Raw genomic sequence first — 15,694 nt, 5'->3', positions numbered from 1 at the left:
TGCCACCAGCATACCACAGCCACCTTTACACAGGACGCTTGATTGTAGGACATAGTCTAAGTTTAAATCTAAGTTTATAAACTTAAATTTTTTTTTTTGAGTCGGAGTCTCACTCTGTCGCCCAGGCTGGAGTGCAGTGGTGCGATCTCGGCTCACTGCAAGCTCCACCTCCTGGGTTCACGTCATTCTCCTACCTCAGCCTCCTGAGTAGCTGGGACCACAGGCACCCGCCACCACGCCCGGCTAATTTTTTGTATTTTCAGTAGAGATGGGGGTTTCACTGTGTTAGCTAGAATGGTCTCGATCTCCTGACCTCGTGATCCATCCACCTCGGCCTCCCAAAGTGCTAGCATTACAGGCATGAGTAATCCTGTAATCCCAGCACCCGCCAAACTTAAATTTTTAAAACTTGATTATAAACTTGATCCAAGTTTATGGCAATAGCTGTATTAGTTGACATGAGTAGAGGTTTTTTAAAAAGCTGTCATAATAGATACCATATATGTTACACAAAATGATGACTAATTATTCCAGAGTTCGGCATCACTTAAATCTTCCATTGCCTCTTTTTCAATCTGGTGAATTTTTAATAATCTGATGACCTATTGTTTATATTGTACATGGCAGTTTTATCATAAAGCACAATTGATAAAAAATCTTTTTGGGTAGAATGCTGACCCACCTGATTCAAACTTGAATCCCAGCTCTGCCAGCCCTGTAAGGTTTAGGGTCCTCATTTGCAAGATTAAATGGTTGCACAGTGACAGGTACATAAATGCTCAATAACTGACGGGTAGATTGGTATGGTGTATGCAATAAATGACATATGCATATAAAAGACCCAGCAGAGTGCTTGGAACATATAGTTAAGTGTTCCATAAACAGAAGATAATACACAAAACAAGTGGACAAAAATTTAAAACCAGTAAAAATAGTTTCGGATTTAAATAACTTTTCTTAAAATCTAAAAAAAAAAACCCACTTATTAGCATGCAGTATGTTATCTCTACCATCTAGCACCAGACCTACAAAATGGTAGATATTAGAGAAATTTTGTTGCATTACTAAATAATGACCATCAACAAAATAAATCATGAAGTTCATGAAGAGTTTGTAGACTGCTTATTTCCTCTTCGTATCCCCAGTGCCTGGCAGATTATCTGACATAAAGTATTTGTTTAATTTCATCTTTTCCCACTCAACCAAAAAGTACATTTATTTGAATTTTTAAAACTTTTTCTTTGTAATTTTAAACTCAGCATGAGGGTTTTGTGATTACACTATAACATATACGAGGGTAAGCTGTATAACATATACAGCTCCGTGTGTGTGTGTGTGTGTGTGTGTGTGTGTATGTACATATAGATATAAAAACCATATATATGGTTTTTTTTGGAGACAGATTCTCACTCTGTCACCAGGCTACGGTGCAGTGGCTCAATCTCAGGTCACTGCACTCTGGCTCCCGGGTTCAAGCGATTCTCCTGCCTCAGCCCCCCAAGTAGCTGGGATTACAGGAGTGCCACCATGCCCAGCTAATTTTTTTTTTTTTTTTGGTATTTTTTGTTAGTAGAGATTTGTTTTTACCATGTTGGCCAGGCTGGTCTCTAACTCCTGATCTCAAGTGACCCACCTGCCCTGGCCTCCCAAAGTGCAGGGACTACAGGCGTGAGCCACCGTGCTGGACCTGTACAGTTTTTTTTAACTACATTTCCAATATATAGTCAATGCTTAACCTAAATGCATGCATTTTTTCATGTTCTGTAAAAGAGGGAAATTCTTATGATATCAACATCATAATCTCTTATCAGAGTTCATACCAAATACATGCACGATGAGGCCATATAATGAAAAATTGCTGCTGGGGAGCTCTATTTTAAGAAACAGTCTCAGATGTGACAAGTAGAAGCAGCAGCAGAGTAAGGTGATCACAGTAAAGGGACTAACATCAATGTTATTTTGGATCCTAGAAACATTTAGTCTAAGTGGCATACTGAACTTTTGCCTCCTTTCTTACTAAAAATAAAACATGAAAAAAAAATCAGTCTCTCATATGTATATAATTTTACCAATAATACATGGGTTTCACCTGAGAAATACTCCATAAAATCAGTTTTCTAAAGTAAAAAACCAAATTTTCACACTGCTCCATAAAAAACTCTTTAATTATTTCCTCTTGTGTCTCACAGAAGAAGAAATGACTGGCTTGCTCACTCCCTGAGGAGAAAAAAAAAAACAAAAAAAGGAAAAAAAACAAATCAAGGAAGTGCTCCTAACCTTTTGACCACCCCCAACAATTCAAGAACATACTCCAGGGCGGTCCCTGCAATAAGAACTTTGCGCGATAACTGATATAGGAAAGCTCAAAAAGCAAGATTATAAAACGGAAACTACTTTTTAACACAAATAATTCTCTCAAAAAGCAAACAAAAATAACATGTAGCAATTATAAAAATTACCTTCTCTGAACTTCTGGGTTTGCCTGCTTAATCTATCACAGAGAAAGGGGCTACTCAACGTATACTTTACAGGAATGTCTCTGAAGAAAAAGATGTTCAACCACAGATGAGTTATTTTCAGAGTCAGTGATATAAGTTATTTCTAGGGGTATGCGTACATTCAGGACAGTAAGGTATTATCATATTCAAGTTCCACAGAATCCTGAAATGGTCACTCTTCTTCCCCATGTGTTTGATTTATTATGAGGATTATGAGAAAAACATTATATCTATAGTAAGAACCTTGTCACCTAAGTGAAGGCCCTTGTAATCTTAGTGCAAAGTAGTAACAAATTCAAGATAAAGACTAATAATATTTTATGTCCAAGACTATGGTTAACACTTTAAAACTGTTACCTTCAATTGCAGAGGAAAACAGATTCCATTTGATTCAAAATAGGTCACATTTAAAGCCCTAATACCGATGATTCCTAGGCTTATATAAAAATTCACAGGTCCTCAAACTGCACTAGAAATGGCTGACTAAAGACTAAGCAAAATGCACACATACAAAAAAAGGACGTGAAGAAAAAACAAGGTTTCGGGACTTAATAGAAAAATCTAGCTTTCTTCCATTCCCAGCAGGCTCCTTCTTACTAAATAAATGGACTTGAGTTCATGATTCAGAAGCATATAATAGGAGTGTTTTGATGTAACCTCATGGTCAAAACAGGTTTAGGATTGTCTGAATTTGCTTCTTGCCAGGTAAAGCAGTTGATATTATAAAAACATATTTATTTTACATAGAGCTTGTGAGGTCTTCCTAGTGATAATGACCTTCCTGATGAAGACTAAGAATTCCTATGTACGTTTTTTGAATAATCTGCTTCAAGACAGGCAACTGAAGGAACTTGTGAGTGGCACTCTACTCCACATGCACAACTCCTGTAGTATTCCTTCCTACGTTTCTGACTCCCTTATAGCTTCTCACCCCTTTCCTCATTTTCTTTCTGATGCCTGAGCCCCACCAGTGTAAATCCAGAGGTTTGACCTAATACTGACACATACAGAAAGGTTTCTCAATCTTATCTGGCTTTAACTTAACATCATTAGACATTGCTGGGGCATATGAAATCCTTCAGGGCAAAGCTTGTCATTTCTCTGTACTCACAAGACTCACAGACTGTAATTAGAAGGCACTCAGTGTGGTCTGATGCCGTTATAAAAGATAACATTATATTTTAAATCACAAAAAGGCCAATATAAATATGTTACTAGTAGATTCCAGTTTTTAAATCTAAAAGACACACCAAACATTCTGCTTCCATCAATGAATACAAACAAGTAAACACAAAAAGTGAAAGGCATTTAATTAGCATATTTAACCATTCTCACTAATAAGAGATGAGTCACCTTTATTCCAATTACTTCTTCCAAAATTATGAAGGCCTTTTATTGGGCATTTTCCCGAATAATTTCTCACTCAATTTGTAGTACATACTGAAATCTATTCCAGTTTCTTGAAAGTCAAAGATTGAGAGGAAAATTGATTATCCATTGCTGAGTATCTTGGTTGTACACAATTTTAAAACTATATACCTTTTAAATAACCAACAAGAAAACAAGGAAGAGAAGAAAGAACAAAATAAGGTATAAATAAACCTAAATATACCAACAATCATAAGTTGACTATAAGTTAAAAAAAAGTTTATAAAACTGGAAAAAGATTCATTATATACTATTTTAAAAAGATACACCCAAATATACGGATAAACAGATATTTTAAAAGGGTGAAAAAAAATTAGAGTAGGTAATGCTAAATAAAAGAAAGTTTATATATCAAAATCAGACAAAACAGATAAAGGCACAAGTACTACCGGAGGTGGAGGTCCCCTCATGATAAAAATGTTGGCTTCATTCTGATGGCATATTCTACACTTAACAGAACATAACAATTCTATACTTAAATGCATCTGATAATATAAACTCAAAATAAAAGGACAGAGTACACAGAGAAAACAAGAAGTCACTGCAACATTTGAAAACTATAATATCCCTTTCTCCATGACTGATTCTAACCTCATACAAACTCTTCCAGAGTACAAAAAAGTGGAACACCTTCCAACTCATTTTCTGAGGCTAGACCAACCTTGCTATCAAAGCCAGACAATGACAGTACAAGAGAAGAAAATTACAGGGCAATTTCACTTTGTTATCATAAATATCAAAGTCTTAAATGAAGTATCAACAAACCCAACAGAACAATGTACAGATGATTTTAGGGGGGTGAAACTATTCTGTATGATACTGTGATGGTGGATACATGTCATTTACATTTGTCAAAACTCAATGAACACACAACACCAAGAGTGAATCCTAAGGTAAACTATGAACTTTGGGTGATAATGATGTGACAATGTAGGTACAATTGTAACAACTGTATCACTGTGGTGCAAGATGTCCACAGTGGGGGAGGGGGTAAAGGTTTGTGTGTGTGTACGCGTAACAGAGAACTTTATACATTTTCTACTAAATTTTGCCATGAACCTAAAAGTGCTCTAAAAAATACAAACTTTATTAACTTGGAAAAAAGAGTACTTCATGACCAAGTTGGGTTGATCCCAACAATGTAAGATTTACCATTAATGGTTTAGCATTAACAAGAGTATTAATGCAATTCATGGAATTCACTGAATAAGCAAACTAAAAGAAAAAAAATCTTAATGAATGCAGAACAAATAGTTGATAAAATTCAATACTTAAACTCATAATAAAAGTTCTTACTAAAGTAGAAATAGAGAATTTCCTTCACCTGGAAATGATACCTTCCAAAAATCTTCATCAGATATCATTCTTAGTGGTAAAAATTAGAATCCTTCATTTTTACATCAGAGCTGTAGTTGCTTCTATCACTGTACTGGCAATACTAGCCAGCAATATAAAGAAATGTAAGGACTGGAATGGAAAAAGATTAAAGTACTGGAAAGGAATTAAAAACAACAAAAAAAAAAACAAAAAACCTGTGTTAATTTACAGAAGACTGACATAATTTTATTAAAATTAAGAACTCTGTTCGTCAAAAGATCTCTTGGAATGTGAAGGTAAGCTACAATGTAGGAGAGTAAATTTGCCACACATATTATGGATAAAAGATTATAATAAAGAAATTCCCAAAATCAAATGCATGTACTTTACAACTTCAATTACACTCCTATTTACAGATCCTAGAGAAGCTCTTTGACATAAAAAAAATGTTCTTATTTTAAGCTGAGTATCATGTGCAGTGCTTATTCATCTTATTTTCCCTTATGTCTGACAAATGTTATATTCATTTGGCATTTAATTAAATTGTCATAATTAAAGAAATAAAACATACTCAAAGATTTTAATTATTACCATCATATATAAGTAGTATATAAAAAATATCATTGGACCCCAAGTTCGTACTACTGCTACCTGCATAAAACAAACTGACCTGCATTGCATGGGCAATTTATATTATACAGATTATTTTAACCTGCCTTGCTCTTTTCAAAGAAACAAATCTGACGAAAGACTAAAGACAAGAAAGTAATTGCTATTAATTATTCTTCATGTACAGTCTCTATCTATGAGCCTAGAGTCAAAAGCTTTTCCTAAATTATTTCCAGGTGTTTCTGAGAATTTGTAAAATCTTCCACTGTTGTCCTGCTTACTTTGTTGCCTATTAGGCAACTTTGTGGTTTAAAGATTATGAAGTTTTGGTCTGGTTCATCACACAGTTTGAACTTTCAAAATGACTAACAGCAAAAAAGATTAAATATTTACATTAAAATATCTACTGCTAATACCAATGTAAAAAAAATGTGGCCGGGCGCGGTGGCTCACGCCTGTAATCCCAGCACTTTGGGAGGCCAAGGAGGGTGGATCACGACGTCAGGAGATCGAGACCATCCTGGCTAACATGCTGAAACCCTGTCTCTACTAAAAGTACAAAAAATTAGCCGGGCGTGGTGGCAGGCGCCTGTAGTCCCAGCTACTCGGGAGGCTGAGGCAGGAGAATGGCATGAACTCTGGAGGTGGAGCTTGCAGTGAGCCGAGATCGTGTCACTACACTCCAGCCTGGGTGACAGTGCAAGACCCTGTCTCAAAAAAAAAAAAAAAAAAAAGTATGACCAAAAAATAGAAAATGCTAACCTGAAAATCTTGATCCTTGAATTTTTTTTTTAAGTCCAGGTTCCAGGCTTAGATCTTTGAATTTTACACTTGACAACAGTATTACTTAAATTAAATCACTGTCCTTTAGTATTTGCATATATCATTAATGTTTTCCATCTCTAAAGAGTTTACATTTGGAAAATGTCATTTCTAATAAAAAAATACTTAAAATATTCTGAAAAACCATAGTGAAAATATGGAAGCTGCTAATGACTATGTATCTGCTTAGTATGTAAGCTATTAAGAGTTCACAATCTACCTACCCAAATACCCTTTAAGGAGCACAGGCAGAACCCACAAATTCCTGGGCTGACCACCACTCTTGGCCAAATGAGTCACGGCCTCTGTAAGTCCCAGGGTCACCTTTCTCTAGGAGTCTACTGAAACTAAATTCAGCAAACCTCTCAATGCCCAAATTAACTTTATCTCCAATTCCTCTCTCAATCCATCTACTGACCTGGCATTAACCCTACAAGGCTTTGTTTTTTCCATCCCTGACCTAGTCTACAGTCCACCTTCTATCTTACAAATTTAACTACCTATGGAAATGGTGCTCCATAATTAGCAAACTCCTCTATACCCTCAACCTCTTTTCAAAGCATTACCTCAGTACCTTGGCTGTTAAGGACTTTCTCCCATCAGCTGTCCTACTGCATTCTCTCAAAGAACAGATATTTATTCCCCATTCCCCCAAGGTCCTTCAACTACCTGAGCCATCCATTCTCTTAATCCCAGAACCTTGTCATACCCATAACCTGGCACATCTAAAATCATGACTTCAATGATCACACTGCAACACCAAATCTCCAACCTTGCAGTATACATGTTTAACTACTTCCCTGTGGGAGTTCTCTGGTCTTGGAAGAATCTCTATCCCAATCTATCAGATCACTTTTTGCTCTACTTCCCTCCTTCCCAGCCTGAAGTCTAACAGTTCAACATTTCAACAAATCTATCATACCCTAACTCTCCTGCTCATCTGTCTTTCACTGGATTAATCTAGAAAAACCCTTTGTGGCTTCAAGCTTTCATTCTCCTTGAGCTCCTACTGACCACGGCCCTCCCTCAAGATTCCATAAATACCCAACAAGTGTCTGCAATGCACCAGTGACATAGCATTTAAACACACTGTATTTTAACAAACTGCTGACTTGTTTATTACAAAATATTTATTACAAATGTTCAACAGATATTTATTGAGCATTTCCTAAGAACAGAAAGGCACTATTCTTAACTGTGAGAATTTAGCAGCAAAGAGGGTCAGAGGAGGTCCCCACTCTTGTGAGGCTCATATCACAAGGCAGAAAAAGAAAACACGTAAGTGAATAAGAATTTTAACCAGTGATAAGTGCCACAGGGAAAACAAAACAGGGTAACATGACAGCAAGTGCTTGGTCAGTGGGTTTTGGGTGTGGGCAGAACAGGGGAGGTCATCTACTTGAAAGACTTCTCAGAAGCACACTGAGACCTAAGATACCTTCCTCCATCCCCCAAAACAGAATCAGTCAGATCTATTTTGGACCTTAAACTGACACAGCCCCAGTGAAAGTACCAAACCAACTAAACAGGGCATCAAAAGAAAAAAACATAATAACTCTATTCTACAGGAGTTAGGAATTAACAGTTTTAATAAAGAGGGTCATCCCACACATGTCCACATAGATTTCTATATAATCTAAGGAGTACATATATGATCAGCAGTGTGTTCAGGATCAAGTGTAATCCCATATTTCAGACTGAAGAACCTAAACTTTAGCTGGGTTCAGTAATTTTTTCAGCATGTACCTTACATGGATTACAAAAATGCCTCCATCTTCCACCTCTCCTTGTATCTACAACCTTGTACAATGTTAGTCTGCAACTCCTCCTATCCAAAGATGGAGTCCATTTCTCCACTTTTTGAATCTGAACTGACCTTGTGACTGCCTTTAGCCAACAGAAAGCAGTAAAAGTGACACTGTCCCAGTTCTGAATCTAGGCCTCAAGAGACCCTTAGGTGCTTCTGCTCACTCGGGTGGATGCCTGTCTTCATCAATCACAGCAAGCCTGGGCCTAGCAGATGAAGCCGGAACCTATTAGAGGAAGAGTCATTCCCATCATCCTGGATAAGGCCATGCTAGACCTGCCAAGATCAGCAAAGCCTCTTACCTGACTAGGTGATCTCAGATAAGAGCAGGCCCCACAGAAACTAGAGAAAGAAACAAACGGGAGAAACTGCCCAGCAAACCCATGAAAAGTATGCACAATAATATATAGTTATTGTTTTAAGCCACTGAGTTTTTTTTTCTTTTCTTTTTTTTTTTTTTTTTTTTGAGATGGAGTCTCGCTCTGTCGCCCAGGCTGGAGTACAGAGGCGCTCTCTCGGCTCACTGCAAGCTCCGCCTCCCGGGTTCACGCCATTCTCCTGCCTCAGCCTCCTGAGTAGCTGGGACCTCAGGCACCCACCACCACATCCAGCTAATGTTTTTTGCATTTTTAGTAGAGATGGGGTTTCACCGTGCTAGCCAGGATGGTCTCGATCTCCCGACCTCGTGATCCGTCCACGCTGGCCTCCCCAAAGTGCTGGGATTACAGGCAAGCCACTGAGTTTTTGAATGGTTTGTCATAGAGCAATAACTGATACAGCAAGATTATAATGATTTACCTCTATTCAACTCTGATAATATATTAATTGTCTCCATTAATGTTTTTGAGGAACTGAAACCAATAATTGTGAAATATTTCAATTTCAGGGTCATCTTCTGTAATGAGGCTTAAATAGCAGGTCAGAAAGGAAGTGTTATATACAGTAAAGACTCACAACCCCAAAGGACTTTACTTCTACTACCAATAATAATGTTTGTTTCCTTTCTAGAGCTTCTTTTAGAGAACCTGCTGAGAAAGGAATAGCAGCCAGACTTTCATAAGAATAATGGAGGGGAGGGGCTGACTTGATATTGTAAAAATCCAGATGACTAGGTGTGAAAGAGCCTGAGATTATTCTGTTAACAACAAAATAACTAGCTGATTTCCTTTTATTTTCATCCTTCTTTTCTGATACACAATTTTTTCAGTGAACTATTTCTGAGAAATGCATCTACTTTTCCAAATTCTCAAAAGAATTTCTTTTTTGAAGTCTTCCACCTTCTTCAAGAGTTTAAGTAATTAAGTTTTTGAAAGTAGATAATATACATGTTACCTCCTCTTCTCATTCATCTGGGTAAGCATAAAAAGTTTACTAACTTGAATCGAACCAGGCCTGTCCTGTTTCCTACTCTGTGGGGTTGTCCTGAGAATCAAATGAGAAGAAGAGAGGGTTCAGAAGGAATGTGACCTGCTAGGCCCGTCGCCCACACGTAGTGTGTTCAGGGGCTACTACTGGTCAGGGGCTCTGCCTGTGTCAGCCAGCAGTACGTGCCTGAGCATGCCTAATCTCCAGCACCTTTGCAGAGCCTGAGTATTAATACATTTAAAATAACTTCACGGACATGGTGGCTTACACCTGTAATCCCAGCACTTTGGGAGGCCAAGGCGGGTGGATCACTTGAGGTCAGGAATTCAAGACCAGCCTGGCCAACATAGTGAAACCCTGTCTCTACTAAAAATACAAAAATTAGTCAGGCGTGGTGGCAGGTGCCTGAAATGCCAGCTACTCAGGAGGCTAAGGCAGGAGAATTGCTTGAACCTGGGAGGCGGAGGTTGCAGTGAGCTGAGATCCTGCCACTGCACTCCAGCCCGGGCAACAGAACGAGACTCCGTCTCAAAAAATAAATAAATAAATAAAATAAAATACTTCAAAAGCTAGGTGCAGCTGCTCAATGCCTATAATCTTAACACTTTGGGAGGCCAAGGCAAGAGAATGGCGTGGGCCCAGGAGTTCGAGATCAACCTGGGCAACATAGTGAGACCCCATCTCTAAAAAAAAATAGATAAATTAGCTAGGTGTGGTGGCACACGCCTTGGTCCCAGCTACTCGGGAGGCTGAGGCAGAAGGATCACTTGAAGCCAGGAATTCAAAGCTGAGGTGAGCTCTGATCATGCCACTGCACTCCAGCCTTGGGCAACAGAGTGAGACCCTGTCTCTAAAAATAAAATACAATATTTCAAACCTGTTTAATTATACAGTTGCAATCCCAATTTGAGGCATAAGTTTCTTTTACTTCTCTCTCCACCATCCCCCTTTACTGGTAATAATTCATTCTGCAGTTAAATTCATTCATTTGCCAAAAAAAAAAAAAAAGAAAAAAGAAACTACAAAATATCTTTTTCAAACAGCAGCAACACCTTCATTCAAAGTTGTCTTTTCATAGTCACTCCTGGGTATCCTATACCACATACTGCCTTTAGTATTGCCTCCTCACACTTCAGTTCCACTCACCTATGTAAGTGTCCCTAACGTTACAACACCTTGAATTCTTCATTCCTGTAGAATATATTCAAGCTAAGTCCTGCCTTTTATGTGCAGCCCTAAACTTTCTCTTTAAGGAAAGCTCTCCTTAGTACCACTGTCTAGGCATTTCACAAAGAAACTGATTTCTAATTCCTAAGTCACAAGGCTTTCTTAAATAGAAAAAAGAAATACGTATATTATTAAGTGAACACTACACTATCAACAAATACTCATTGACTTATGTGTAACAGTTCCTACTTTCAAGAGGTGTAAAATCTATATAAGAGGAAGACTAAATGATCACATTTCTAAACCACTCTGAGCAGGCCATGCATTTTAAGTTGTTTTTCAGCATAAATGATATTGAGGCATATTCTCTTAGAACCCCAATGGCATAAACTTGGAAAACATATACCCACGTACTTTATCTCTTTATGTAATGTTTCACAGTTTTTCAAAGTTTGTTCATATAAATTAACTCACAACATCATAAGCCTATTAAAATGGGCAAGACAAGAATTATCCTCTCCACTTTACATGAGAGAAAACTGGTATATAACAGTATCAATTTTATCAAAGTAATACAGCTAACTAAGGTAAGAGAGTCAAGGTCTAACACATTGCTACTTTCCACTTCACCACAATTCTTGGTGCCCACAGGCTTATGAAGATGCACACTGTGGTCACAAAACAGAGAGCATATTCCTGTTGGCAACTCTAACTGGTCTAAGGTATATTATGTTCTGAACTCCTAACTGCCTAAGTGGGTGCACACTGGGCTTTCCACTGGGTTGCAGGAGAAAATATTTAGTACCTCTATTTACACTTATTTTTAAATAATAAGAAAAAACAGCTTTACTAATATGTAAGACACAGATTGACAGCATTACATGTATATACTTTTTAAATAAATACATGTATAATGTTCGTACTTGAGGGTATATACTCAAAAACTTTTTATTTGTAGGGGTGCACAACCAAAATATTTTCGAGATGTCTACTAAGCTAACTGGCCTAGATATCAAAAATACAAATAAATACCTAACATAAATCACTAAGAAAAATAACTCAATAGAAAAACACAGAAAATATGTGAAACAGGAAATTTACAGAAGAGATTCAAATGGGCAATAAATATTGAAAAAGATGCCATGCATGGCTGAAATCAGGAGCATGTAAATTCAAACAAGAAGATACCATTTTTGCCCATTGGCCTAGCCAAAACTTAAGTACAGTAACACCAAGTGCTGGCAAGGATATAAGTAAGGATAAATAATTAAGACTTTTTGGAAGAAAGCTGTCTAACAGTAAACCAAATAGGAAAACCAGAAATTAATCTGAATGTGATTGGCAAATGTCTCCAATGATTTGGCCAACCCTAATTCTCAGAGGAGTTTAAGAAGTGAATGTATTGTTATCATTTGGGGCTTTTTGAATCATTATGCAGTCAGTTTTGCACAATGTGTCATATTATTACTTTTGTAAGTTTTTTTGTAGCTCCACAGACTTATTAAAAAGTATTATTTTTCAATATTATGATTGCACATTTAAGCATTTCCAATTTTTTGAACTCTACTTACGGGGTTTAGCAGGATCTTACTACAACTTACCAAAGCTCAACTACGAATACAGCCTATTTCAGCAATTCCACATCTAAATAGTTGTTTTATAAAACAACTGTTTTATAAAAATATTTGCATGTGACCACAAAGATTCTGTTTAAATTGGTTCACTATCATACTTCTAGCAATTGGGCAGGGGGCGGGGGAAATAGGAAAAAACCTCGATGTCCAACAACAGGAGTATAACAAAACCATCAAGACATGTTTTACAGTTATTGAAAGAACGATATTGACCTTTAACCAGTACTATGAAAAGACCTAAGATATTTATTAAATAAAAAGTTAAAGAATAGTACCTACAGGACAATCCCATTTTTGTTAAAATATTTATGTATATATAAGTATGTACATGCAAAGAAAGAACAGTAGAAAAATGGACCCTAAACCACTGATACTTATAACTTCTTGGGGAGCAGAGTATGGGGTAGAAGGGAAAAATCATAAAAGAGGACTTTACTGCATCAGGAGGAGTAGGAACATCTTCCTACAAGTCCTCTTGGAAGGCAGAGGGCTATAGTGCTACTCCTATTCAAATACTGCCACTGATAATAACTACTAACGATCATAGAGTTAGTCCAAAGGTCAAATCGACAGTTCAGTCAAGCACATAAAATCTCTGTCTCTCTCTCTCTCACACACACACACTCCCCTCACACAAACACATATGTGAGATATCTGTCTACACACTCATATAACCCAAGGCACTACTATCTTGATTACTAGCATAGGTACTTTGATCCTCATGTTTGAACTCTGCTACAGCTGTGTCATTTATCAGTGGGAAACAGCAGCCCTGGTGTAAAATAATTGTATTGTGCAAAGTAATCTAGCCTTAAGATACCAATTATTTATATCTTTTACTACCAAGTGTATTAACTGTCAATGTGAAACTGGAATAAACTAAAGATCAAGACTAAATTTACTCAGGTATTCAAATGTTTTTAAAATATTTGGGCTTACATTCAAGTTCATGACTTACTTTGATTTTCTAAGTCTCTGACTTTATGATAAAAATTAACAGATATTGAATTAGTACTGGTAAACACACCAGTATATCCACTTCCTCACCTAAATCCTTGCGTACATCACTAGCTTATCACAATATGCTTTCCCACTGATCCAGAAGTTGGTCTCCAAATTCTTTTGAATACATTGCTTCAAACAGTTATCGCTAAACAGAGTTGCAATGCTGGCTGAAACTTATTTATCATCTCTGGCTGTCCATTACATTACGTCCCACACTCCTTGTATTTGCACTCCTATGTAGCTCTCCTCCCACATCTGACTTTGACTTACATCAACCAGGACCACATGGGAAAGCATGATATAAGCAGAAGTTTTATAAGTGTCTAAAACTGTGGTCTGTTCTCCTAGGATAATTCCTCTTAGAAGCCAACTGCCACGCTACAAAGAAAACTTGAGACAGACTAACTGATGAGAGGCCACGAGGAGAGACGCTGGTGTTTGTTCCAGACTCATGACCTCAGTTATACCGCATGGAACTGAAGACCAGCACAGCTGAGCCTAGTCAACTTAAAGAAAAGTGAGAAATTAGAAATCATCGTTTTAAGCCACTGAGTTCTGGGGTAGTTGTTTATGTAGACATACATAACTGAAGGACTAATCTGTGTTTCAAACCATCTGAATCTCTAGTAATAATCCATACAGACTCTCTATCAGTTACCTTTCAAATTTCATCTATTCAATCAGAAGCACTTATTGCAGTTATGGAGAAATGAAGGCACTTTCATACATTCTTATATGTTCTCAAGTGAGAACATAAATCTGCACAAATTTTCTAAAGGGCAATTTGGCAAATGTTAAGTGATGAACCATCTAAAAAGCTCATGTATTTTCTCAATTCCAATTCTACAAAAAACAGACATGCATACAAGAGTATTCATATAAACATTTTTCTCACAGCAAAAACTCACAAACAACAAAGTTACCTGGAAGTAGAGGAATAAATACCATATATTCATAAGACAGAACATCATAGTTATTAAAAACCTTCTACTGAATAAATATATAACGATATAAGGATACTAATACAGCTAATGAAAATAGGATTTGACACAGTATTATCAATAGCAATAAGACTCAAATCTTTAAAAATATATATACATATTAACTGTCAATGTGAAACATTATAAATGCATAATATATGCATATGTGCCGCATACATAATTGTGCATAATTGCACATATAATTACATATAATACATGCATCTATGCTGCATATATAATTATGTGTTATATATGCATAATATATGCATATAATTGTACACAATAATTATATTAGTAGAAATTCTCTCTGCACAACAGGACTGTGAATGATTTTTATTTTCTCCATCTTTATACTCCTTAGTATTTTCCAAATGTTCTACAATAAAAATGAATTGCTTCTATAAGAAAAAAACACTTAACATTATAAAACAGGTTAAAAAGAAGCATATACACTAAACGTACACTTTTATTATTTGATTTGGAATCATTCTGTGGTATTTCTTTACTAACTTTAAAAAAATGCCATCAAGCAAGTGCCTGCAAGGTGCAGAAAAAAGGAAATCCTTGCACATTGTTGGTAGGAAAATAAATTAGTGCAGCCATTATGGAAAACAGTATGGAGGTTCCTCAAGAAATTAAAAATAGAACTACCATATATGATCTACAATCCCACCTCTGGGTGTATACCCAAAAGAAATGAATTGCCACCTCATAGGAACATCTGTGCTCCCATGTTCACTGCAGCATTACTGACAATAGCCAAAATAAGGAAATAACCCACATGTCCATCAAGAGATGAATGGATAAAGAAAATATGATGGAATATTATTCATCATATTCTTATAAAAAATGAGACCTTGCCTTTTGTGACAACATAGATAGAACTGGAGGACATTATGCTAAGTGAAATAAACCAGACAAAAAGAAAAATACTGCATGATCTTAAATGTGGAAGCTAAAAGAAGTTTGTAAAGTAAAATACATAAAAATAGAATAGAAATGGGGGGATGGGAATATGCAGATCAAAGTGAGTATAGAGTTACACTTATAGAAGATGAATAA

The 15,694-nt window shown here is 36.6% G+C and overlaps 1 protein-coding gene across 42 annotated transcripts in view; it reads right to left on the bottom strand.

Moving 5' to 3' along the window:
* PLEKHA5 (pleckstrin homology domain containing A5) overlaps positions 1-15,694 on the bottom strand; it is a 246,668-nt gene that overhangs the window by 217,950 nt on the left and 13,024 nt on the right. Inside the window, exon 5 of one of the 42 annotated variants that reach the window (XM_017019503.2) lies at positions 15,185-15,195. The exons of the other annotated variants lie outside the window; for them this stretch is intronic. The gene's annotated coding sequence lies outside the window, so the exon portion shown is untranslated. Of the gene's footprint in view, positions 1-15,184; positions 15,196-15,694 lie in introns of those variants that run through there. 42 annotated transcript variants of the gene reach the window in all.

The sequence above is a fragment of the Homo sapiens genome, chromosome 12, assembly GCF_000001405.40.
Source record: "Homo sapiens chromosome 12, GRCh38.p14 Primary Assembly".
NCBI classification, from domain to species: Eukaryota; Metazoa; Chordata; class Mammalia; order Primates; family Hominidae; genus Homo; species Homo sapiens.
This window is presented reverse-complemented; position numbering and strand designations above follow the sequence as displayed.